The sequence below is a fragment of the Homo sapiens genome, chromosome 1 (genome assembly GCF_000001405.40).
Source record: "Homo sapiens chromosome 1, GRCh38.p14 Primary Assembly".
Taxonomy (NCBI): domain Eukaryota; kingdom Metazoa; phylum Chordata; class Mammalia; order Primates; family Hominidae; genus Homo; species Homo sapiens.
In genome coordinates, this window is record NC_000001.11 from 201,562,680 (window position 1) to 201,588,373 (window position 25,694).

General features: G+C 47.6%; 1 protein-coding gene across 3 annotated transcripts in view, besides 3 other annotated features; it reads left to right on the top strand.

Annotated features, from left to right (window-relative positions):
- The window catches only part of NAV1 (neuron navigator 1), a 287,843-nt gene that overhangs the window by 23,553 nt on the left and 238,596 nt on the right, over positions 1-25,694 (top strand). The gene's annotated exons all lie outside the window — the stretch shown is intronic.
- Positions 3,002-3,503: an enhancer, noted in NCBI's record as "H3K4me1 hESC enhancer chr1:201534809-201535310 (GRCh37/hg19 assembly coordinates)". NCBI's record gives its function as "activates a minimal SCP1, AML or CMV promoter by ChIP-STARR-seq in naive H9 embryonic stem cells {active_cell/tissue: H9 hESC(naive)}" and the evidence as "EXISTENCE:reporter gene assay evidence [ECO:0000049][PMID:30033119]".
- Positions 3,504-4,003: an enhancer, noted in NCBI's record as "H3K4me1 hESC enhancer chr1:201535311-201535810 (GRCh37/hg19 assembly coordinates)". NCBI's record gives its function as "activates a minimal SCP1, AML or CMV promoter by ChIP-STARR-seq in primed H9 embryonic stem cells {active_cell/tissue: H9 hESC(primed)}" and the evidence as "EXISTENCE:reporter gene assay evidence [ECO:0000049][PMID:30033119]".
- Positions 4,170-4,956: a transcriptional cis regulatory region, noted in NCBI's record as "candidate enhancer chr1.10615 targeted for multiplex CRISPR interference". NCBI's record gives its function as "positively regulates NAV1 gene expression in K562 cells {active_cell/tissue: K562}" and the evidence as "EXISTENCE:mutant phenotype evidence [ECO:0000015][PMID:30612741]".

The following is a 25,694-nucleotide window of genomic DNA, read 5'->3' on the forward strand; positions in this document are numbered from 1 at the left end:
CAGGTCATTCTAGGACTGTATGAGAGCAGAATGTGGCATCTCTTTCTGTTTTAGCTTGCAGGGTACTTCTAGGCGGTTGGTGCTCTCTCCTGGGCCTGGTGGATGGAAGGGAGCAGGCAGGGAGGGGTGGGGCAGGCCCTGCCTACAGAGCCTGTCAGTAGGGAACCAGTGAGTCACCAGAAGTCCAATACCTCAGTCCAGATCCTGGATGCTGTTGGATCACGGGATCTGTCTGAGCATCAGTTTCCTTTTCTGAAAAGTAGGGATGATAACAGCCTAGGACGGTGGGTGAATCAGTGAGGTAATGCACAGGAACACGCATAGTAAATAGTTTTTGCCAGAGTGGGTGGTTATGAGTATTTAGAGTGGCCTGAGCCTCCCAATTGAAATATCCTGGCCTTTTGTCAAGTCCTAAGAGAGGATGTGTGGGGGAAGCTACAGACTAATGAAGAGGTGACCGGATCGTCAGAGGGTGCAGACATGCTTAGCAAGCTGGTGGTGCGACTCAGGGCTAGCTGCCCCTGGTCACGCTCCCCCTGTGCATCCGCGGCAGCAGGAAACATTTGTCCTCAGGAAACAGCCCCTCGAAGAGCGTCCGGACGCCGGGACCCAGCCTGGATGGCAGAGGGGGCGTTAACTCGTCCCACAGGTGCCACTGACCCAACACGATTTTTTTTCTGGTGTATCTTTCTGGGAGATGTATCTTTCTGGGAGATGTTGGAACTGGGCCCAGAGAAAAGCATACGAGACCACAATCCCCAAGACACTGCTTGGTGGGGTACCCCACATGTCTGCTTCAAGTGCCACAGGTACAGCAAGGAAAGCCTGCAGGATCCCTCCACATCAGAGGTAAGGAAGAACCCAGAATCTGGAATTGGATGCCAGGAGCTTGAGTTCTGGGCCTGATATGACCACCTGGGGGCCCTTTGGCTAACACCCCACTTCTCTGAGCCTCAGTTTTCTCATCAGCAAAATGAGGGCATGGATCCCTATTTCAGTGTGTTATTGTAGGGGTAGAATGAGGTAACATGTGAAAGACCTGCGAAGGCAGAATGCTGTGGCCCTGACAAGCAGAAGCTTTGCAGGCAGGCAGATCTGGTTGGGATCCGATTCTCTTTGGACCGTAAATTCCTGGCCAGAAGTGGTGGCTCACACTTGTAATCCCAACACTTTGTGAGGCCAAGGCAGGAGAATCACATCAGCCAAAGAGTTTGAGATCAGCCTGGGCAACATAGCAAGACCCCCGTCTCTACAAGAAATTTAAAAAATTAGCCAGGCATGGTAGTGTGTCCCTGTAGCCCTAACTACTCAGGAGGCTGGAGTGGGAAGATCTCTTGAGTCCCAGAGGTTGAGGCTGCGGTGAGCCATGCTAGCACCACTGCACTCCAGCCTGGGTGACAGAGCAAGACTGTGTCTCAAAAAAGAAAGAAAGAAGAAAGGAAAGAAGGAGGGAGGGAGGGAGGAAGAAAGGAAGGAAGGAAGGCAGGCAGGCAGGCAGGCAGGCATCCTCGGCCCTGGCACAGGGTCTGGCTCATTGTAGATGGTCAGTTTGTAGGTGTGAAAGGAATAGTTCAGTCTCACCTCCTCCACTTTGTAGCAGTGTGGCTTTAACTTTTCTCACCTTTAGCGTCCTTACCTATTACAGGGGAATGGGGCCAGGCACGGTAGCTCACGCCTGTAATCCCAGCACTTTGGGAGGCCGAGGCGGGCAGATCACTTGAGGTCAGGTGTTCGAGACCAGCCTGGGCAACATGGCGAAACCCCGTCTCTACTAAAAATACAAAAATTAGCTGGGTGTGGTGACACACACCTGTAGTCCCAGCTATTTGGGAGGCTGAGGCAAGAAAATTGCTTGAACCCTTGAACCCAGGAGGCAGAGGTTGCAGTGAGCCAAGATTGTGCCACTGTACTCCAGCATGGGCAACAGAGTGAGACTCTGTCTCAAATAAATAAATAAATAGGAATTGATTGGTTTTCTAGGCTGCTGTAACAAATGACCACAAGCTTAGTGTCTTAACACAGATTTATCTTACAGTTCTGTACAGCAGAAGTCTGACAGGGTGTCACTGGGCTAATTCCAAAGTGTCAGCAGGGCTGTGTTCCTACCTGGAGGATCCAGGGGAGAATCTGTTTCCTTGCCTTTTCCAGCTCCTGGAGGCCACCCTCAATCTTTGGTGTGTGGCCCCTTTTTCCATCTTCAAAGTCAGCAACAGCAGGTCAGGTCCTTCTCATGCTGCCATCTCGCTGCTTCTCTGCAGCTAGGAAAGGTTCTCTGCTTTTAAGGACTCATGTGATTAGATGGACCCATTTGCATAATCCAAGATACCCTACCCATTCCAGGGTCCTTAATCTTAATCACATCTGTGAAGATCCTTTTGCCACTTACGGTAACAACTGCAACTTCTGAATAAAAGGGAATGGGCATCTTTGGGGTCCGTTATTCTGCCTACCACAGAGAACACTAATGGTTCCTATCATACTGGATTGTTGGCAGGAATAAACATATGTTTTAAAAAAGGTAATAAATGTAAGGTGACTGGCACATACTAAGTGCTCATTAAATATTTAGCTACTGCTATCATCATTACTACATAAACCATGTGGTGCCTTATAAATGCTAGTTATTGATGCCAATTTTCTAAATAAGAAAGTACAGGGCCTGGTTTCTTCTGGGCTCATTGTCAGTCTCCCTTCCTGTGCCTCGGTTTCCTCCGCCATCAGAAGAGAAACTGACCCTGCTCTTGGCAGCTCACACTCCAGGCCGAGGAGGCACACAAAGTTTCCCTTGTGCTATGTGAGGGCGGCTGCCAGCAGCGGGCATGGGGCCCGGCCCATGGCTATCCCAGGGACGTGGTATTCACTGAGATCACAAGGGAACAGAAGGGCCCCTTCTTTGGAGGGCAGAGAGGTTCCAAGTGGATCCCTGCAGGAACTGAGCCCCCTCTGTGGGAAAGAATTGCCTCCGTTGTGAGGCAGTATCGCTATTTGCAAAGCGTTTTGCAATCATTTTTATTAGCAGAGCCCCTGAGACTTGAGGATAATAGAAGGGCTGTCACCCACCCCCTGCCTCTCTGGGGGAAACTGAGGCCCACACAGTTGAAGGTGGGACCCCAGGCCACATGATGAGGTGGATTTGACCTCCCAGGGGCCTTGTGGCTTCAGGCCAGCATTTTATCCCTGGAGGCGCCAGACATTCCCCCAATCCCTAGTCACTGAACTGAACCAAAAATTAACACCCAAATGCCCTTCAGCGCCTCCCTCTCAGACTTTTCTTTAAAAGACCAATTTGAAATGCAGCCACCCTCTTCCATGTCAAGGCTGGCGCTGGTCCTTTCTTTCAGATCCTGGCTGCTCCTCCTTCCCTGCCAGCACTGAGCTCTCCCCATCACTTCCAGACTCCTTCCTGTGGGCTCCAGGGGCCTCCCCCACACTCTGCCCCATCTCCCAGTTTCCTCCCGACACATACACCATTCTGATGGTGACGCTTGCCCACCTCTTTCAGAGAGAGGCAGGCCACTTCTCCTGGGCATTTCTCTTGCAGGCTCTGAGAACCACTCCCCAGACCCCCATGAAATGCCGGCAGCTCCAGCCACACCCCAGCTCACTTTGGAGGCCTGCTCGAGGCTCACCGCCTCCAGGAAGGCTTCCCCCTGAGCCCACCACTGTCACCCACCCCTGGTGCCCTCTCCGCTTGGCTCCACCAGTACCTAGTGATATTGCTCAGGGTGCACACCCTCAGCCGTTACAGGCCTTTCTCCCCTCCCTCAGCACTTAGGTTGTGTTCCCCAGGCAGGGGCTTTGTCTCTCCCATCAGGCGAGAGCTCCCTCGGGAATACTCCAGAACACAGCCCCTCGAGTTCTAGGGCTGTATCAGAAGTCAGTACTTTCTCTCCCTGCCCACTCACAACACACACAGAACTCTTCTTCCCTTGGGATGACGCTGTTGGATCACAGAGGGCACAGGTGCCCCATCCATGGTTCCTTTTTCTCCCTAAATTTTAACTAGTGTTGTTTTTTTCTTCCTGATTAACAAAGCTTATCATAGAAAAATAGAAAAACTTGAAGTAGCCATAATCCCCCACTCCAGAAGCAAACACTGTTAACATTTCCTTCTAGGTTGTTTTTTTTTTTAAAGGCAGGTTTGTCTACCTGAGATCATACTCGGCCTACCATTTTGTATTTTTGCTTTTTTGCTTAATATTATCTCAGATGTTTTTCTGTATCGATCAAATCTCTGTACACATCATTTTAAATATTATTTCATATGTATGTACTGTAATTTGCTCAACTATCTGTGATTCCCTCCTCACTTATAATCCCCAAACCACAGGGTGCTGACTTCCTTAGGCGGTGTTTTGGAATAGTTTGTCCCCTCCCACCCCCCATCCCCAGCCACCGGAAGACAAAAAAAATGACCAGCTGCTCTTCACAGGACTCTGATTAGGATCTTGAACTGGGTGGCGGTTGGAAATCAGTATCACAACCTCCCCACACCCTGTCCCTTCCTGCCTGACAAGATGGGAAAGCCATCAGCTGCAGGGGGGAGTGGACAAACATCCCCACCCTCTTCATGGGGAACAGGCTTCTGTTGGTTCAGGGGGTTGCCTCTGTTGTTTTTTCTGATGGGGCTGTCCACAGGTACGAGGGCATTGGCTGGGCCAGAGGGGCCTTGTCCTGTCAAGTTACCGGGGTTGGAGCCCGCGCTGTAGGAGCTGGGCCACTGGGTGAAGTGCTCAAGAGGCTTGAGAGCTGCACTGGGATGGAGTCTGCACAACACCCAGCTGGAGGACTGAGGCGAAGCGAGCCAGAGCTCAGCCACCCCTCTTGGTTCTACTGAAAATATTGCTCAGGGAGGCATCTCAGGGATCCATATGGTCTAACTGAATCAGTAATGAGACTCTACTGTGTGTGTAGACAATATTGATGTGCCCAAGGCTGTCAGAGGCACAGGGAGATGGAACTCACAGTGCCCTGGGGTCTCTGTTCCAATCCAGTGTGGCCAGGGTCTACCTGCCGCTGCTTTGTGGAGGAAGGTGGAGACTGTCTCTCCAACAGCACAGACATGTCTACCCATGAGAGACTATGGCTTTCTCCCAAGCCATAGGTACCTGCCTCCCCAGTTGTGTCGGTACCCAAAACCCCAAAGCCTTGTGTGTATTATATTTGTGAGACCCCTGCCTGCACATCGAGAATGTCCTTTCTCTATGTGGCACGGAGCAAGGGTAACTGACCCAATTGAAGATCAACCCTAGGAGACAGAGCCTCATGGGTGCTTTAACCAGCTGTGTGTCCAGCTGTGTGCCATCATCTCCCCTTCGCCAAGACCCTGCCATGCAAATTGAGTACATAAACCACCTGTGAGTGCCTAGGACCACGTAAGCATAGGCTGCCTGGGCTGTGTACCTAAGGAGTAATTGGAGTGCGGGCATCCTGGGCTGACAATAAAAGGAGGCTGTGGGCTGGGGTGAAAAGGCAGTGGGGGGCAGCTGTGGAGCACTTCCCACTGCTCCTCCAGCTTGGTGATGGACTGGCATCAGAGCAAGCCCCTTGCCCAGTTTTAGTCTTGTGGGCAGCTCTTCTTGTCCCTAGCTGGCAGTTTCCTGTGGGTAGATCTGGGTTGCCAATCCCAGAATCCTGGAACCCTGGCTTGTCTGTTTCCTGTAACACCCAAAGCCTATTTGTTAATGGAGTGTCAGCACTCCATTGCCACTGCCATCACCGCTTCCCGGGGCTGCGTCCTGAATTCTTGTTGGGTGCTGTATCTGTTCCCTCTGAGTTTTGGGTGGTGGTATGTCTGGCCACAGCTGGGCCCACTGCAGTTCCTGTGAGGGGTGGCTGCATGTACACACATGACCCCAAACATGCTGGCTGCCTAGTGCCCCCAGGCAGACGTGAGTTTGATACCGACTGTGGCAATTAGGCGTGTTGTTTTACCTCCTTGGGCCTCAGTTTCCTCATCTGTAAAATGAAAATGTTAAGCACTCCTACCTCATGAAGTTGTTGTAAGGATTCAATAACATAATATAATATAATATATAAACAATGCGTGTTTGCACAGCGCCTGTCCCACAGTATGTGCTCGGGAAAGAGGGCTCCATTGCAAGGGTCTCTCGGTCTTCAGGCTGCTCACCGACTCCCTCTTCTTTCCCAGGGTGTCTGTTTAGTCTAAAAGTTCAGATGTGCCTCATGCATGCGCAGAAGTTTGCGGGGGTCCTCTAGGTCAGTGGGCTTGAATGGCAGGTCCTAGGGAGGAAGGTCAGACTGGGAAGGTCAGACTGTGTGGTCCAGGAGCCTGAACCTCTGTGCAAGGTGGGGCCTTCTCAGCTCCCCACTCCTCCCGGCTGCTTCCTGTTAGCAGGACACCCAGGGAGAAGCGTGTTTCCTTCCTGCTCTGGGCAAACCCAGGCCACTCCCCCAGCCCCTAGAACTTCTGTTCAGAACCACCAGCAGCCCTGAGGACAGTACAGAGCTGACCAAAGTCTCATCCAGGTGTGAAAAGCCACCCCCCTCCAGAGGTGCTCAGGCCCATGAAGGTCTGGGCTGATCTTGGGCTGGATCCTGTGGCAGCTTCACTCCAGTGCAAGTCAGCCTGGCCACCTCCTGGTAGGCAACCAGCAGCTGCAGCAGTTCACGGCTATAGCATGAACTCCCCTGATGCCAGGGCAGCCCAGAGCTAGCTTCGATTTATGAATGATTTTAATGTCCGAAATTAACATCATCTTCAGCTCTTGAAACAAATGACTCCAGGGATGTCAAAGCACACTGGTTTACCCAGCACCAGGGACACTGGAAAGGTGTCATGGACCCTGAGGCTGATCCTTGCATCCTTCATCTCTTCACTTTAGAGGTTCTCAAAGCCATCTTTCTGCCATCCTTCCCAGCTGACATCATATAAGATGCTCCAGGTTGTCAAGGGTATGTCTGCCTTTAAAAAATGATCTAGGGAAGGTACAGTGATTCTGGGAGTGCCCATCTCTCTGCATCACTTTGCTGGGGCTGCACACAGAGAGGGGCCCTGTGATCATGGGACTGCAGGAGCTCAGGAGGAAGCAGTTAGTAACCCCCTCATGAGGAAGCCCCTCGCAGTATCCGCTGGTCCAGTTCTCTCCCTTTGCTCACCTGGACACCTTCTTCTAAGGCCACAGAGGAGTGGGAAGGACAAAGGCTCTGGAAGCAGACATCCAGCTCTTAGGCTTCTGACTAGTGTGTGATCGTTGACAAGTCAATTTACTTCTCAGTTGCTGTTTTACTTGTGAAATAATGAGAAAGACAACACCTGCCCTGTCCAGCTCCTGGGGTTATTGTGAGGATCAAATGAGATGACGGATGTGGAAATATTTTAACTGTAAAATACCATTTTCATTTTATTTATTATGATTAAGAAGAGGCACTATAGTCATCCGGGGTGAGCGCTTCTCTGGCCTCTTGTGTGCCCTGATTAGGCTGACCTGAAAAACACCAAACAAAAAAATCAGAGCAGGTGGAAGGAAGCAGACTCTCTCCCCACCTGGTTGGAGCCCATGGCCCACATGTAGGCTGTGCCCAGGGCTGCTCTTCCTTCCCTTCTAGGGCAGACTCAGCAGACCCAAAGATCAAGCAACTGCCAGGGTCAGGCGCCTCCTTACAGCCGTCAGGAGAATGCTTGGCAAGACAGCCCTGAATTCTGTTCCTCTCTAGTTCCAGGGGCATCTGGTCACCACCCCCAACCCTTGCCTCTTGCCCTGCAGGCCCAGCCAATGAGAAGTACAGGTCTGCAGATGGGAAAGGGCTCTCCAGCCAGCCAGCAAGCAGGCCTGCCCTGGGAGTACCTGTCCTTATGCGAGAATAGAGGATAATAGGTCCTCAGGGCTGGGTGTGGTGAAACAACCAGAGAGGCCAAGGAGATGCTTGCCTGGTGTCCCACCAGTGAGAAAAAAAAGCTTTTTCTCCCTGTTACAGCCTGGCCTATACTGAAGGGTCTTCCTGAGCTGGCTGAGGGCTACGACCAGGGCCAGGGCCAGGGTATGGGGGAAGCCCAGCAGGCAGTCTCCCTTTTCTGCTCAGAAGAGGCACCAAGCACATTGAGTCTTCCTCACTTGGGATCTATTCTCTCAATGGAGGAGGCCTGTTCCCAGAAGTCCAGGTCTAGGAAGAAGGCTGCCTCCACACATTCTCCATCTCTGGAACCTCAGGCCTGACAACATGGCCTATTTTCTACCATTAGCCCTGCAGCTGCCTCTGCTCTGCCGCTGACCCTGGTCGCTCATTGCTAAGGCAACAAAGCTATCTCATTTCCTGAGCTTCATCGAATCTCAGCACCCATTTCCGCTGTGTCCGCATCCACCCCTGCCAGGGTCGAGGTGTCCTGTGATTGCTTTTGTCCCTGCCAAGGGCTGTATCAGCCCCGCCAGGTCTGGTGGCCATTGATTTTGAAAGAGCAGAGTAGTCAGCATCCACTGTGAGCTGTGTGGACTCGCAGGCCCTGGCTCCTGGATCTCTGGGCTAGCCAGTGGGACTAAGCACAATTGCCATCATGGTGTGATGAAGGAGAAGTCAGACTGACCTCTCTGAGTCTCATTTTCATCAGAAAGGGGAGGTAGTGCTGGGAGTTGCTGTGAGAATGACATGAGATAATGGATGTGATCATGTGTGCAGGGTTCCTAGAACAGTGCGTGACACATAATTGGTGCCCAGTGAATAAATGACAGCTCCCTTTCCTACATAGTCATGGCTTAATACGCCTTCAGGCCAGGGTAGAAGATATATATTGAGCACCTTCCATGTTTGTTCCAGGTACTGCCAGGCTCCAGGCACTGGGGAATGCAGTCCCTGCTGTCAGGGAGTTTGTCACACAGCTGGGAAACCAGTCCCCCACCATGATGAGATCACAGACAAAGGGGACCACAGAGTGAGCACTCTGGGGCTGTCCCTAGGTCTCTGGCTATGGGTGCCCAGCAGAACTGCAAGGGCCCCTTCAATTATCCACAGTCAAGAACTGGAAGCCTGGCTAGGCGTTCTGTTTTGCCTAGAATTGCTTATTATGACCTTTTTTTCTTTTGCAGCAAATTTCCCTTCCTAATTTGGTTCTGTTTATCCCATTATTAAAGTGGGATTACATAGGAATTTAACTGAAGTAAATGATCATCAATGTGTACAAAGATCTAGCTGCAAGAATGTTCTTGGCAAAATTGTTTATCACAGGGGAAGGGCACAAACAATTTGAGTGGGTAAAAGTACCACATATGTTAATGATACTCTGGTATAACCATCTATTAATAGCGGAAAGGGGAATACCTAATGTGCCTAATGCACCCATAAGGAATTATTAACACTTCACTCACTCAGTCATTCACTCATCTGATCGCTCATTCCACTCACAGTCACTGAGCACCTTCCAGACAAAAGGTCCTATATGAGAGAGTGTTTTACTCAGGTTCCTCAGAGATGAGGATGTGATCACAGATTAAGGGAGAAGTTATGGGATTCATCATGGGATAGCGAGGAAACTGGGCAGCGGGGTTTTTGGTCCTCCAGGCTGAGGCATGTGACAAGCATGGTGGGCTTCTGCAGGGGCCACAGCATCTCCAGGCTACAGAACCCTGGATCCTAAGCTGGCTTCCATAGTTCCCTGAGAGCAGCATTGTGTGGTAGGCCAAGTTCAAGATTTGGAGTCAGGAGACTTGGATTCTAATTTCTTTTCTTTCTTTCTTTCTTTTTTTTTTTTTTTTGAGACAGAGTCTTGCTCTGTCACCCAGGCTGGAGTGCAGTGGTGCAATCTTGGCTCACTGCAACCTCCACCTCCCCGGTTCAAGCAATTCTTCTGCCTCAGCCTCCCGAGTAGCTGGGACTACAGGCACGCACCACCATGCCCGGCTAATTTTTGTATTTTTAGGAGAGACGGGGGTTTCACCATATTGGCCAGGCTGGTCTCAAACTCCTGACCTCATGATCCACCCGCCTCAGCCTCCCAAAGTGCTGGGATTACAGGCGTGAGCCACCGCGCCTGGCCAGATTCTAATTTCTTTTAGCCTTTATCACCATCAATGAAATGGGGATAGGAATGACTGTCTTATACCTTACCAGCAAGTCATCACAAGACTCAAAGGAGGCAGCTAAGTGGCCTGCTCTAAACTGTGCAGGTGTTGACAACAGAGATTAATCCTCATTGCTCAAGTAGATGCCCTGGGGTAGGGGGTGGTTTCCAGCTGTGCTCTTCTTGGGAATTACTTTTCTTTCTGTCCCCATAGCCATCTCCTCCCATGCTGTCCAACCCTGCTCCTTCCTACTCCATCTTGCCCCTGCCCATCTCACCTTCTAGAAGCCTGAGCCCAGCAGCCCAAGGTCAGCTCCATCTGAAACTAGTGTCATCACTGGAAAGGTTGCATGGAAGAGCCCTCCTTCAAAAGTAAATAATCAAACTTTGTTTAAAGGCCTGACAATGTTCATTTGTGTTGATCAAGCTCAGACTGAATTATGCATAGGCACATGGCCTGTGCCTGAGGAATTTACCATGTAGGCCAGACACCCTGACTGATTCAAAGGATGTACAGACAGCAGGACATCAAGTCGAGGCAGGCCACAGGGAGCTGACCCTGGAGTGCTGATTTCACAGAACGTGGCTGCTAAGTCCAGATAATGTTTCATCTCCTGATATGTGTGTGTGTATGCGTGTGTGTGTGTGTGCACACCTGTACCGTATTCACACTTTTTCAAGGGGAAAGAAGAAAGGAAGGAAGGAAGGGAGGGGAATAAAAACAAATCTTTTTGAAGTGGAGCCATGTGACCCCAGGTAAACCCTCAGGGAGCCCCTGCCCTGCCCTGCCTCTGCACCAGTTCTTCCTGACAGAGAGCTTTGTCCCCTCCCCTACATGTCTGTCACACACCCCCTCCCTGCCTCCTGTTTTGCAGTCAGGACCCTCCATCATGACAGAGGGAGGCCCAAATTGTCTTCTGCTCCAGGCCTGCCTGCTGTACCTATCTCCCAGGGATCTTGTGATGATTAAGAGAGCTAATACATGAAAAATATATAAAATGGTGCCAGGTACCTAGTAAACACTCAACAAATATTATCTATTACTAATTGGTTTGGGGTCATGGACCCTTTTTGGGAATCTGATGAAAGCTGTGGGCATTGTGTCCAAAAAATGCATTACATTCAGCTCAGCGGGTGCCTGGACCCCAAGTTAAGAATGCCTAGTCCCAACCTGGGCAACATAGAAAGGTCCCATCTCTAAAACAATTTTAAAAATTAGCCAGGCACGGTGGCACGTGCCTGTAGTCCCAGCTACTTGGGAGGTTGAGGTGGGAGGATCGCTTGAGCCCACGAGTTTGAGGCTACAGTGAGCTATGATAGTGGCGGCACTGCACTCTAGCCTGGACATCAGAGTGCAGCCCTGTCTCTAAGAAAAAAAAAAAAGAACGAGTCTAAATAAACTGAAGAGTTCTATTTATAAGCATTTACTGAGCACTCTTCAGTGTAGAGGACTGGGCTGGGTACAAGGGAGAAAACAAGAAGTGACCTCAGCCTCAGGACACTCACCATGTAGTAAGGGAGAAAAGTAATACACAACTTTCTATAATCTAAAGTAGGAAGTGTTAAATCCCCACAGAGAGAGTCAGGTAAAATGCTGGGGAGTGTTGACGAGAGAGACATTCATTCTCTGGAGAGATCCAAGATTGCTCCGTGGAGCAGGTGGCATGAGAATTGGACTTTACAGGATGATGGGTTTGGGTCGAGTGGTTGTTAGCTGTGGGAAAGCACCAGGCAGAAGGAGCAGCATGAACCCAGCACTCGGAGTCAGGATGGGCCACCCAGAGCCTGTGGTGGTCAGTCCCACCCTGGACCTCAGGTTTCCTGTGAGCAAGCAAAGGAACTCAGCCCTGCTCAACCTCATAGAAAAAGAGCTTGTTGGATATCCCAGTAGCTTACTGAGCAAGTGGGAAGGCTGCAGAACCAGGCTTGGGAAACCTGCAGCTTCCAAGGAAAGCTGGTAGCCAGAACCACAGCCCAATTCGTGGCACAAGAAGCCTGCTCAGATCAATTCTGTTGCCACTGCCAGAAACTAGCTGGAGCCACCATTGCGCCTCCTACCACCACCGTCACCAGCGTTGGGAGCCCTGACCCTCCCTGCCTCTGTTTATCCTCTGCACAGACAGATTCAGTGTCTCAGGTGGAAGGAAGGAGAGCTGCGGGGCTTGTTGCCCCCGCCACACATTGCTCGGCCTCTGCTCAGACTGGGGTGCTCATGGCACTTGGCTAGGGAGGCATGGAAGACAGACAGTGCCAGAGGCCCCACACTCTCTAACATGGGGAGAGGAAAGCTGCAAAGTGCCCAGGCCATTGTCTAATCCTTGCCTGGAAAAGCCAAAGACTTTCCAGCAGCTGACACAAAGGGCCCATCTTCAACCTAGATGGTGCTTTCTCCTTTGAAGTCCTGATGCAGAGTGGAATGGCTGAAAGTGACTTAACTTTTCTTTGTTCTGATGTGTTTCTAACCCCTGGGACTCTCAGTGCTTCCCTTTTCCTGGGAATTAGTTTGGGAAGCAGCTGGGGAGAGGACCAGAGACAGAGACCTAGAGAGAGAGAGATGTGTCTTCTTCAGGGTTCCTGGTGGACCCCCCAACCTGGTCCTTACTATCTTTCTACCCTTCTTGCCCTTCTTTCTCCTTGATCCTTTGTCTCTTAGTCTACTGGCCTATGAACTGCTGAGCTATAGGATCTAGTCCTGTGCATGAGGGAATTTATAGCATGTCCAGTTCAACTCAGCCAGTATTTATTGACATCTATCTTTGGGAACACCTAAATTCACTGGAGTTGGCAGATCTTGTATTGAATTCTGTTGCAGTATTCAGAACTGCGTATCTACATCAGGGAGGCGTGTCCAATGGGATGATGAAGGTGTTTGCCCTTAGGCTGCCCCCAGTCTGTTGGAGGAAATGTTCAGGGGCCCCTTAAATTGGAAGGAAAATCCAAATCCAAACAAGGACAAATACCTAATGTCAAAAATGAACATGAGTCCTGGAGGAGCACGGAGTGGTGACGTAACAACATCTGAGGCCAATTAAGGACAGTTTCTTTGATAAAGTGTTTCTCGAGTTTATTATGAAGGAAGGAGGGAAGGGACAAATTATGAAGAGAGAGAGACTGTAGGCTAGAGCATTTATTTGCATCTTGGTCCTTGATCACCAGGCATGGGGTATTTCTTCCCTGATTTCCTGTGTTCTTTCACTTACTCAATTATTTATTCGTGCATGCTTTCCACAATTGTTGACTTTTATTAAACTTTTAATTCTGAGACATTGTAGATTTGCATGCAATTGTAAGAAACACCACAAAGGGATCCTGGATACCCTTTACCCAGCTTCCCCCAGTGTTAACATCTTGCAAAACTGTAGTACAATATCACTACCAGGATATTGGCCCGGCTGCTGTAAAGACACAGAACAGTCCTGTCACCACAGGGATCCCTCATGTCGCCCTTTTAAAGGCACGCCCACTTCTCTCCTGCCTCCACCCTTTCTTTGACTCCTGGCAACTACTAATATGTTTGCCATTTCTATACTTTTGCCATTTCAAGAATGTTATATGAATGGAATCATAGAGCATATTCCTTTTGGGAACAGTTATTTTTCACTTAGCATAATTCTGTGGAGATTCATCCAGGTGTGTGTATCAATAGTTCAGTTGTTTCTGTTGCTGAGTAATATTCTATGATATGGATGTACCATAGTTTGTTTAATCATTCATTATTGAAAGACATGGGTTGTCTCCAGTTTGGGGCTATTAAGAATAAGCTGATAAGCTGGGGATGGTGGCATGTGCCTGTAATCTCAACTAATCAGGAGGCTGATGGAGGAGGATCCCTTGAGCCCAGGAGTTCAAGACCAGTCTGGGCAACACAGCGAGACCCTCTCCAAAAAAAAAAATAATAAAGCTAATATATTCATTCGTGTAGAGGTTTTTGTGTGAACATAACTCTTCATTTCTCTGAGATGTACAGTTGTTGGGTCACGTGTTAGTTGCAAGTTAATTTTTTTAAGAAACTGCCAAATCACTTTCCAAAGTGGGTGTACCATTTTACATTTCTACCAGCAATGTATGAATGATCCAGTTTCTCTGCATCTCACCAACATTTGGTGTTGTCATTGCTTTAAAATTGTAGCCATTCTAATATGTATGTAGTAATATCTCCTCATGGTTTTAATTTGCATTTCTCTAATTGCTAATGATTTTGAATTTCTTTTCACGTGCTTATTTAGACATCTCTTTGGTGCTATATCTCTTCATGTCTTTTGCCTATTTCCTAATTGAATTGTTTGGTTTTTGGTGAGTTTTGTTTTGTTTTGTTTTGAGACAGAGTTTTGCTCTGTCATCTAGGCTGGAGTGCAGTGGTGCCATCACAGCTCACAACCTCAACCTCCTGGCCTCAAGCAATCCTCCCATCTTAGCCTCCCAAGTGCTGGGATTACAGGAGTGAACCACTATGCCTGGCCTGACTGTTGAGTTTTGATTGCTCTTTCTGTATTATAAGTGCTGGTTCTTTGCTGGATATGTGGTTGACAAATATTTTCTCCTACTCTGTATGTCTTTTGTAACATTGTAACAGGGTCTTTTACAGAATGAAACATTTTAATTTTGAGGAAGTCTAATTTATCAATTTTTCCTTTTATGGATTGTGCTTTTGTTATCAAGTCTAAGAACTCTTTGCCAAAGATTTTTAAAATATTTTTTCCTCAAAGTTTTATATTTTTATGTTTCGCATTTAAACACACAATCCATTTGGGTTAACTTTGGCATAAGGCCTGAGACTTAGATTTTTTTTTTTTTTTTTTTTTTTTGGCTATGGATGTCCAATCACTCCAGCACCATTTGTTGGAAAAGCTGTTTTTCCTTTATTAAATTACTTTTGCACCTTTGTCAAAAATCAGTTGGGCATATTTGTGTGGGTCTGTTTCTGGATTCTCTATTCTGTTCCTTTCTGTTTGGAGAACTTCCTTTAGCTATTCTTTTAGAGTAGTCCTTCTGGCAACAAAGTCTCTTAGTTTCTCTTCATCTGAGAATGTTCTTGATTTCCCCTTTATTCCTGAAGAATATTTTTACTGGGTATAGGATTATGAGTTGACAGTTCTTTTTATTTTCCCCCCAGCACTTGAAAAATATTGTGCCACTTCCTTCTGTCCTCCGTGGTTTCCAATGAGAAATCTACTGTCATTTGAACCCTTTCCACCTGTAGATTAAGGTTTCCTGTTTCTCTTCCTGCTTTCAAGATTGTTTCTTTGTCTTTAACTCGCAGATGCTTAATTTGTGATTTCTTTAGGTCTATCTTGTTTGGCATTTGCTCAGATTCTTGAATCTGTGGGTTTATGTCTCTTGCCAACTTTGCAAAGTTTTCAACTATTTTTTCTTGGAGTACTTTTTCAGCACCATCCTCTTTCTTTTCTCTTACCAGAACTTCAATAACACGAAAGTTAGATCTTTTGTTATAGTCCCACAGGCCCCTAAGAATCTGCTCTGCTTTTTGTTTTGGTCTATTTTCTTTCTGTTGTTCATATTGGTTAATTTCTATTGTTCTATCTTCCAGTTCTCTGATTGTTCTCCTTAATTCTACTGTTGATCCCATCCACTGAGATCAACACTTCAGTTACTGTATTTTTCAGTTTAAAATTTTCCATTTGGTTCTTCTTTATAGCTTCTGTTCTTTGTTCTTCATTACCCCTGGGCTAGGGGTAGGAGTTCCAGCTCCCTGCTTGGTTTCCAGGGGAACTGAGCTGAGGGTGGCTTATCTCTGGGTAATGATGAAAGTTCTGTCTCTCCACTAGGCCTCCTCTTATACCACACTGTGGGAAGCAGGAAGGGTGCCTTATTACTGCTAGGTGGGGGTGGAAGTCCAGGCTCCGCATATGGGCTCCACTGATAATGAATGGCCTCATTACCAGGAGGAGGGGATGGAACTTTGGGCTTGCTACTCAGCCTTCTCTGACACCACCCTAGTGGGGTTGTTGGGCACTTCATCATGGCCTGGTGAAGGTGAACTCTAGGCTCCCCACTTGCCCTTCGCTGCCCTGGATGAAAGTGGGAGCACAATTTTTCCTATGGCGTTTGGCTGGAGTGAACTATCTATCATCTAAAAGTTTGAACAACTATCATCATTCAAACTTTATCATTGAACAACTATCATCTAAAAGTTTTCTGGTCCGGGCATGGTGGCTCACACTTCTAATCCCAGCACTTTGGGAGGCCGAGGTGAGTGGATCACCTGAGGTCAGGAGCTCGAGACCAGCCTGGCCAACATGGTGAAACCCCATCTCTACTAATAATATAAAAATTAGCCAAGCATGATGGCACACACCTGTAATCCCAGCTACTCGGGAGGCTGAGGCAGCAGAATCGCTCGAACCTGGGAGGCGGAGGTTGCAGTGAGCCAAGATCACACCGTTGCACTCTAGCCTGAGCGGCAAGAGCAAAACTCAGTCTCAAAAAAAAAAAAATGTTCTGTCTTTCTGGGCTGCCACTTTCCTGGCCTTTGGCTGGAGAAAGCAGGCTTTTGTTGAGGCTTCTTTTGTTTGCACCCATTGGCATTTCTGGGTTGATGACTTCTTCAGCTCCAAGTCTGGAATTTATGAAGAAAAAAACAAACAAATGAACTCAGAGACCTCATCGCCATGTTGTTCCTTGAGTCCCAAGGTCCCTACTTCATCCACCCTTTTTTTATTTTGAGACAGAGTCTTACTCTATCACCCAAGCTGGAGTGCAGTGGCACAATCATGGCTCACTGCAACCTCTGCCTCCTGGGTTCAAGCAATTCTCATGCCTCAGCCTCCCGAGTAGCTGGGATTACAGGCATGCACCACCACGCCTGGATAATTTTTGTATTTTTAGTAGAGATGGAGTTTCACCATGTTGGCCAGGCTGGTCTTGAGCTCCTGGTGTCAAGTGATCCACCCACCTCGGCCTCTCAAAACGCTGGGATTACAGACATGAGCCACTGTGCTTGGCCTCAGTCTACCTTTTTATCTCCACCTTTCAGAGTCTTCTTATGTTTGCTTTATATATAATGTCCAGGGTTTTTAGTTGTAAGTACAACTATTGGGAGGAATAAGGAAAAGTACTTGTATTAGGGTTCTTCAGAGAAACAGACCGATAAGATATAAAAATAGATACACGAGAGGGGATTTACTATGGGAATTGGCTCATGTGATTTTGGAGGCTGAGAAGTCCCATGATAGGCTGTCTGTAGGCTGAAGAACCAGGGAAGCCAGTAGCATGGCTCAGTCCAAGTCTAAAGGCCTCAGACCCAGGCAAGCCAATGATGTAGTTCTCAGCCCAAGGCCAAAGGCCTGAGAAACTGGGGGGAAGGGTGGTCTCTGGCGCAAATCCCAGAATCCAAAAGCCAGAGAACCTGGAGTTCTTGATGTCCAAGGGCAAGAGGAGAAAACTGTCCCAGCTCCAGGAGAGAGAGAGCAAATTCACTTTTTTGTTCTGCCTTTTTGTTCAGCCTGGACCCTTAGCAGATTAGATGGTGGCTGCCCACATTGGGTGAAGACAGATCTTCCTTACTCAGTCCACTGACTCAAATGCCAATCTCTTCTGGAAACACCATCACAGACATACCCAGAAATAATGTTTACTAGCTACCTGGGTATCCGTTAATCCAATCAAGCTGACAGCTAAAATTAACAATCACAGTACTCCAGCTTCCAGAATTTTTCTTGAACACCTGTTCTGTGCCAGCCCATAAAGACAAATAAAATTTTTTTTTGGTTCTCAAAGAGTTCAAAGCCTAGCAAACAAATAGATCAATACCATCCAAGTATTTAGAACATGAGGTTTTCAGCCAGGAGTGATGGCTCATGCCTGTAATCCCACCACTTTGGGAGGCTGAGGCGGGTGGATCACTTGACGTCAGGAGTTCGAGACCAGCCTGGCCAACATGGTGAAACCCCGTCTCTGCTAAAAATACAAAAAATAGCTGGGCGTGGTGGCGCACGCCTGTAATCCTAGCTATTCAGGATGCTGAGGCAGGAGATTGCTTGAACCCAGGAAGCAGAGATTGCAGTGAGCCGAGATCCCACCACTGCACTCCAGCCTAGGTGACAGAGCAAGACTGTCTTAAAAAAGAAAAAAAAAAGAATATGAGATATTCTGGAGGCTTAAAGGAGGTGGGAGTCATCGCCCTACTTGGGATGGGGTTGGGGGAAGAATGGTTTCTTAGAGGAGGTAGGTTATGCTTGAGCTAAACTTTGAAAGATAAATGGATTTCTGGATGGACACGATGGTAAAGGGCATCCCACCAGGCAACACAGCAGCTACAAAGGCATAGAGGCATCAGACAACAGGAGGGGCAGAGTACTCACTGCAGGTTGTTCGTGGGGGCCGGTGCATGGCATAGGGAAAGGAAGACAAAACAGGAGAAGTTAGCAGAGGTAGGGAATGGGGTAGAGACTGGATCATAGAAGGAGTTGTTTGCCATGCTTACCCTTAAAGGCTTTCTGAGCAGTCATCCTGGGATGGACAGGGCAGGGAGTGGAGAGACCAGCGAGCAGGTTTTTGTTACGGTTCGAGTGAGGGTTGAACACAGGCAGTGGTGGTGGAGATGGGTTGCAGGGATAATCTTGAGAGAGATTTAGGAGACAAGATTCACAGGTTGGAATGGATGTGGGAGAAAGGAGGAGCTTAACGCCTTGGCTTAGTAGCCCCATCTGAGAAAATGAGCATCAGATTTTGAGAGGGAAAGAAAGAAACGGAGTTTAGCTGTGTTGACTGTGCGGAGTCTGTGAGCATCCCAGTAAGGATGTCAGGTGGACAAGTGTCTCAGTGGAGAAGTTAAGGCCAGAGAGAGGCAGATTTGAGAGTCATTACATAGAATCAGTAGTTAAAAACAGAGCTCCGGCCGGGCGCGGTGGCTCATGCCTATAATCCCAGCACTTTGGGAGGCTGAGGTGAGCGGATCACCTGAGGTCAGGAGTTCCAGACCAGCCTGGTCAACATGGCGAAACCCTGTCTGTACTAAAAATACAAAAATTAGCCGGGTGTCGTGGTGGGCGCCTGTTATCCCAGCTACTCTGGAGGCTGAGGCACAAGAATCACTTGAACTCCGGAGGCAGAGGTTGCAGTGAGCTGAGATTGCACCACTACACTCGAGCCTGGACGATATAGCCAGGCTCTGTATCAAAAAAGAAAAAAATAATAAAGCTCCCTGATAAGGTTCTAAGAATTTTTTTAAAAATGACCAGAAACACCATCCTGGCTAACACGGTGAAACCCCGTCTCTACTAAAAATACAAAAAATTAGCTGGGGATGGTGGCGGGCGCCTGTAGTCCCAGCTACTCGAGAGGCTGAGGCAGGAGAATGGCGTGAACCTGGGAGGCGGAGCTTGCAGTGAGCTGAGATCGCGCCACTGCACTCCAGACTGGGTGACAGAGTGAGACTCCGTCTCAAACAAACAAACAGACCAGGAACAGAGCTGCCATGTTTCACAAGTGGTCAGCAAAAGAGGAGCCATGCAGGACACCACAAATGAGACTGAGAAGGGCAAGGAAAGGCCAGTCATGAGTTTGTATCAGTCATTCTTACCAGAAACCACTTTTCATATTTGCAAGAGAGGAAATTTAGTGCTGAGAACTGGCTACATGAGAGAGAGAAGAGCTGACGAGTCAAACAGGGGAGGAAGCAGCTGCCACTCCCAGGCAGAGGCAACCAAGATCCTGGGAATCTGGAAGCACACAGGACCAGTATGGGAAGGGCTGGGCCTCCAAAGGGACTTGGATATTGCTATGACACCTCCTGAGGTAGAGGGGAAGAGAGAGGAATCCCCTGGCTTCTCCTTTCCTCCAGTGCCTCCTGTGGGCAGAAGCCAGCCAGAAACCAGCTGACTCAGGACCCTGGGACAGTCAGCCTACAGGAATCAGCCAGCCAGCTCCCCCACACAGAGAAGAGCTGGGGAATGGTGAGGAATGGATGGGAAGGAAAGGTCCAGGACAGGCCCAGAGGCCAAGGGGTGAGGAAATCCAACAAGGGAGCATGATTCTGCAGTGTCTGGTATCTCAGAGAGGTGGGCTTACGTGAGGAAGCCTGTCCTCGGGAATGGGAGAGTGGGAGAGCACTGGGGACCTAGTGAAAGAAAAGTGCTAAGGTCCAGTCCCAGCCTGGTCAACAGCCCCTGCCTGCTGATTGCAAAGCTGCTGGCTAGGAGCCAGGTCTATTACACCCTTCAACAAGCTAGACAGGATCCCAAGCAGACTGCTCTCCTTCTGAGATCCAATCACACCCCACTCTCTGATCTTAACTGTCATCCTTGCTGCTCCCTGTTCCCCTAGTCTTTGGAGAGGCTACAGGAGGCTACTGTGTATACGGGATCCCTCAGCATCCGCTGCCATAGCCCTGAGGGCTGGACCCAAGGCCTGGCATTGTGCAGCTCAGCCCATCTTCTGACTGTCCAGGTGTCTGAGTGGGGCCAACCATGGCGGCTCTACACCCTCTGGGGCTTGGCCCATTTGGTGATTTCTTAGCCTCCTCCCTGCCTGGCTGATTTCTTTGTGTGCCTCGGCTGGGCTCACGCTGCGTCAGGCTCGCCCGTGTTGGTATAATAGCCCTGATCGCTGTGCTTGTCGGAGAGGAGACAGCAGGGGCAAGGCCCCATCCAGGGCTCATCAGGCCCTGTACCCCAGCTGTGTTAATTGTCCAAGCCCTCCAACAAGCCAACCCTTTTTCCCATCTGCAATTAAGACAAAAAGCTCGTTATCTCTCCCGCTCCCATTATCTGTAGACTCTGCTAAGGGGCTCTTTCTCAAGAGCAGCACCTGCAGAGGCCAACAGAGGTTGGCATTAACTCCTTCCCTGCTGGAGATAGGAATCTCTGAGTGGGTGAAGGAGGCAGCTGAAGCTGGTAGGAATGGCTCTGGGACAGAGGGTGGCACTTGGGGCCCTGGAATGGTTCTGTTACAAGCTTGCTGGGTGTCCTTGGGCAAACAATTGACCTTTTTTGAGCCTTTGAAATCCTCTTTCTCCTTTCTTCCCAAGGAAGCCATGGAAATAAATAAGGAGCTGTTGAAGTTGCCAGCTCCCTGGAGTAACTGTGTAAACCTCCGGTCTTCTATTCTCATGGCCAATAGTGCTTCCACTGGTCAAAACTCAAGCCTCAAGATAAAGCATGTAAATAGCTTAAGAAGAGCAGTGCTGGTGCCTGGGGGAGAGGAGCCAGTCAGGACCTTCAGCTTCCCAGGGAAACTTGGATTGAGTAGAATGTAGCAATCTCACTTTGCAGCGTGTCCTTCAGCAAGTCACTTACTCTCTCTGTACTCCAACTTCGTCCTCTGAAAAATTAAAGAATCCAACTGGATCATCTCCAAGATCCTTTCCAATTGAGAAATTCCATCACCTGTGATGATTTTTCTGTACAATGCAATTTGGGAAGGACACTAGCATTTATGGAACCACTGATATGTGCCAGATCTTTCACATGTGTTGTTATTTCCACTTTAAGTGTAAGAACAATATCAAGTTCAGAGATGTGAAAGAAGTGGTCCAAGGTCAATCATCCAGTACCTGGAGGACTCTAGATTCAAACCCACATTTATGAGACTGTAAAACCATTGCTCTTTTTCATGATACCATGTTTTTAGGGACTGCCCATCTAATGGTTCCTTACAAGACAGAGCTGCATATAGAGGGGGAAATGTAACCTACTCTATATGCAGCTATAAAAACAAAGAATCTGGATTCTAACCACTTAGATTCTCCAGAGTCATAATGTGTTAGGAAGGAGTGAATGAGAAATAATTTTTTTGCCCCTCTGGTCTCCCATGTGACTGAGATTGCCTGAGATGTGTGTGCAGACTCTCAAAGAAAAAGTTGTATAATTGTCAGGCATTGGATCTTGTTTTCATCTTGGTAAACCAAATCCTGGAGATGGAATACAGCTGCTATCTCAGCAGCTGGTTCCAGCTTGTGATGTGCCTGTGTCCAGCAGAGCCCACGGCAGCCTTATGAAAGCCCTCCTCAGTCTGTTTCTAGAATCTCCTCTGAATCCATAAGAAACCGCCCAGAGCTTAGCCCATCAGCCCTGCTGACAGGCTGGGCCAGTCCAGATGCTCCACCAAGGCCTGGATTCTGGCTCTTTCACTCAGTTCACTCATCTGCCCCTGAGTCATCCAGAGAAAGGGGTTTGGGGAGAGTCCGGAGCAGACAGCAAAGCAGGGAATCAAGGAAGCTCTTGACCAACTGGCAGGCAGCCCAAGTCCTGGCATCCCACGGGAGAGGAGAAGGGCCCCTGCCTTTCCAAACCAAAGGCTCACATGAGTGAAGGATGGGCCTGAAATCCTCACTCTGGAAGCAACTGACCAAGGTCCTCCCACCCAGCCCCAACCCCATGCACAACTAATAAGACAAATGCTTCCTGTCTTGAGTTCCCCATTCGGGTAGTTTTCGCAGGGGCCTGATCTTCTCCCCAGTCTCCCAAGCTTTGGGCAGGTCATTGGGCCCTCATCCCTGAAGTCAGGCACTGGGCTGGATCTATTCTGGTTTTAGGGTTCTGAACGTGTGATGACTCATCTTCTGCTGAAGGGTTTTTCATGGAGTACTGAAAACCCTTAAAGCAGAACATTTCAGAGTGTGTTCTGTGACTTGCAAATTATTCTGTGAGAATACGATGATGGGGGAGGCACAGAACTAGGTTTCTGTGGTCAGCTAAGTTGTGGAAATGCAGTAAGATCATCTGTCTTTTGGAATCTTGATCTACATGAACATAGGAAAGGCTCTGAGAAGCTCTTCATTCACAGACACACACACACACACAAATAGACAAATCGGACTTCAACAAAATTAAAAACATTTGTGCCTCAAAGGAAAATATTGAGAAAGTGAAAAGACAACCCACAGATTAGGAAAAAAAATTTGCAAATCTTATATCTGATAAGGGTCTAGTATGTGGAAAATATAAAAAACTTCTACAATTTAACAATGACAAAAAAAACTGATTTTTTAAATGGGAAAATGACTTGAATAGACATTTCTTCAAAGAATATATATAAATGGACCACAAGCATATGAAAAGATGCTTAACATCACTAGTTATTAAGAAATGCAAATCAAAACCAAAAGGAGATACTACCTCACACCCAATAGGATGGCTGCTATCAAAAGCACAGAAAGTAACAAGCATTGGCGATGATATGGAGAAATTGGAACAGAATCTGTGTGCAATATTGATAGGAATGTAAATTGGTGCAACAGCTATAGAAAGCAGTATGACAGTTCTTCAAAATATTAAAAATAGAATTGCCATATGATTCAGCAATTCCACGTCTCAGTAGACACCCAAAAGAATTTGCAAGCAGAATCTCAAAGAGATATTTGTACACTCATGTTCATGGCAACATTATTCACCATAGCCAAAGGTAGAAGCAACCCATGTATCTGTTGACAGATGAATAGATAAACAAAATGTGGTATGCAATGAAATATTATTCAGCCTTACAGAGGAAGGAAATTCTCATATATGCTACAACATGGGTGAACCTTGATGAAATGCTAAGTGAAATAAACCAGCCACAGAAAGAGACAGTCTGTGATTTACTTCTCTGGGTTACCTAGGGTAGTCAGATTACTAGAGACAAAAAGTAAAACGGGGATTGCCAGGGCCGGGGGAGGGAGAAATGGAGAGTTATTTTTTAATGGGTACAGTTTAAGTTTTGCAACATGATAAGAGTTCTGAAGCTAGATGGTAGTGACAGTTGCACAAAACTTTGACTATACTTAATCAATACCACCTGTATTAGCCTGCTTGGGCTGCCATAACAAAGTGCCACAGACTAGGTGGCTTAAACAACAGAAATTTATTTTCACACAGTTCTGGAGTCTGGAAGTCCAAAATCAAGGGGCTCAGGTTGGTGCCTGGTGAGGTCTGTCTTCCTGGCTCACAGGTGGCTGCCTTCTCCCTGGGTCCTCACACAGCCTTTTCTCAGTGGGCAGGCACACATGGGGGTGGGAGAGGAAGGGAAGACAGAGAGCAGGGAGAGAAGGAGAGAGGGAGAGGGGGAGAGAGAGAGATCTTTGGTATCTTTTTCTCTTTTCACCCTATTGAATTAGGGCCCCACTGATATGATCTCATTTAACCTTAATTACCTCTTAAGACCCTATCTCCAAATATAACCACACTATAGGTTATGTGGGTTAGACCTTCAAAACACAAATTTGGAGGGTGTGAGATATACATTTCAGTTCATAGCACCTCTGAACTGTGCATCTAAAACAGTTAAGATGGTAAGTTTTAGGCTGGGCACAGTAGCTCACGCCTGTAACCCCAGCACTTTGGGAGGCCAAGGCTCACTTGAGCCCAGGAATCTGAGACCAACTCTGGCAATATAGCAAGACCCGCCCCCTCATCTCTACAAAAAATACAAAAATTAGCCAGGCGTGGTGGTGCGCACCTGTAGTCCCAGCTACACAGGAAGCTGAGGTGGGAAGAAGGCTTGAGCATGGGAAATTGAGGCTGCAGTGAGCCACGGTTGTGCCACTGCACTCCTGCCTGGGCAACAGAGCAAAACCCTGTCTCAAAGAAAGAAAAACAAAGATGATAAGCTTTATGTTATGTGTAGTTTACCACATTAAAAAAAAAAAACAGAAACCTTTTATTTTTCAAATGATACTGTCAAGAAAGTGAATAACTCAACTCAAATAATGAGAAAACATATTTGTAAATCACATATCTGACAAGGGTCTAGTATCTAGAATACATGAAGAATGATTGCTGGACATGGTGGCTCATGTCTGTAATTCCAACACTTTAAGAGGCCAAGGGGGGTGGGTTGTTTGAGTCCAGGAGGTTGAGACTATCCTGGGAAACACGGCAAAACCTCATCTTTACAAAAGATGCAAAAATTAGCCAGGCATGGTGGTGTGCCTGTAGTCCTGGCTACTTGGGAGGTTGATGTGGGAGGATAGCTTGAGCCCAGGAGGCACAGGTTGCAGTGAGCCAAGATCTCACCATTGCACTCCAGCCTGGGCAACACAGGGAGACCCTACCTCAAACAAACAAACGAATGAACAAAAAAGAATGCTTAAAATTCAACAATAAACTCAAATTAAAAGTAGGCAAAATATTTGAATAGATATTTATCCAAAGACAATACACAAATGGAAAATATGCACATGAAAATATGCTCAACATCAATAATCATCAGGAAAAATGCAAATTGGAACATGAGATACCACTTCCCCACAACTAGGATGGCTAAAATAAAAAAGACAGGCAGTAACAAGTGTTGACAAGGATGTGGGGAAATTGGAACTCTCAGAGATTGTTAGTGGAAATGTAAAATGGCGCAGCAGCTTTGGAAAACAGTTTGGCAATTTCTCAAAAAGTTAAACATGGAGATGAGATACACTTGAGCCAGCAATTCCACTTCTAGGTATGTACTCAAGAGATATACTCAAGAGAGTTGAAGACATATGTACACAAATGTTCATAGCAGCAAAATTCATAATAGCCAAAAAAGTGGAAATAAGCTAATGAGTGATAAATGGATGAACAAAAATGTGATATATCATACAGTGGAATCTTATTCGGCTGTAAAAAGGAATGAGGTGCTGACACATGCTCCAACATGGATAAATCTTGAAAACATCTTGCTAAGTGAAAAAAGCCATACACAAAAGCCCACGTATTGTATGATTTTATTCATATGAGTTTTTGTTTGTTTGTTTTTAAGAGATAGG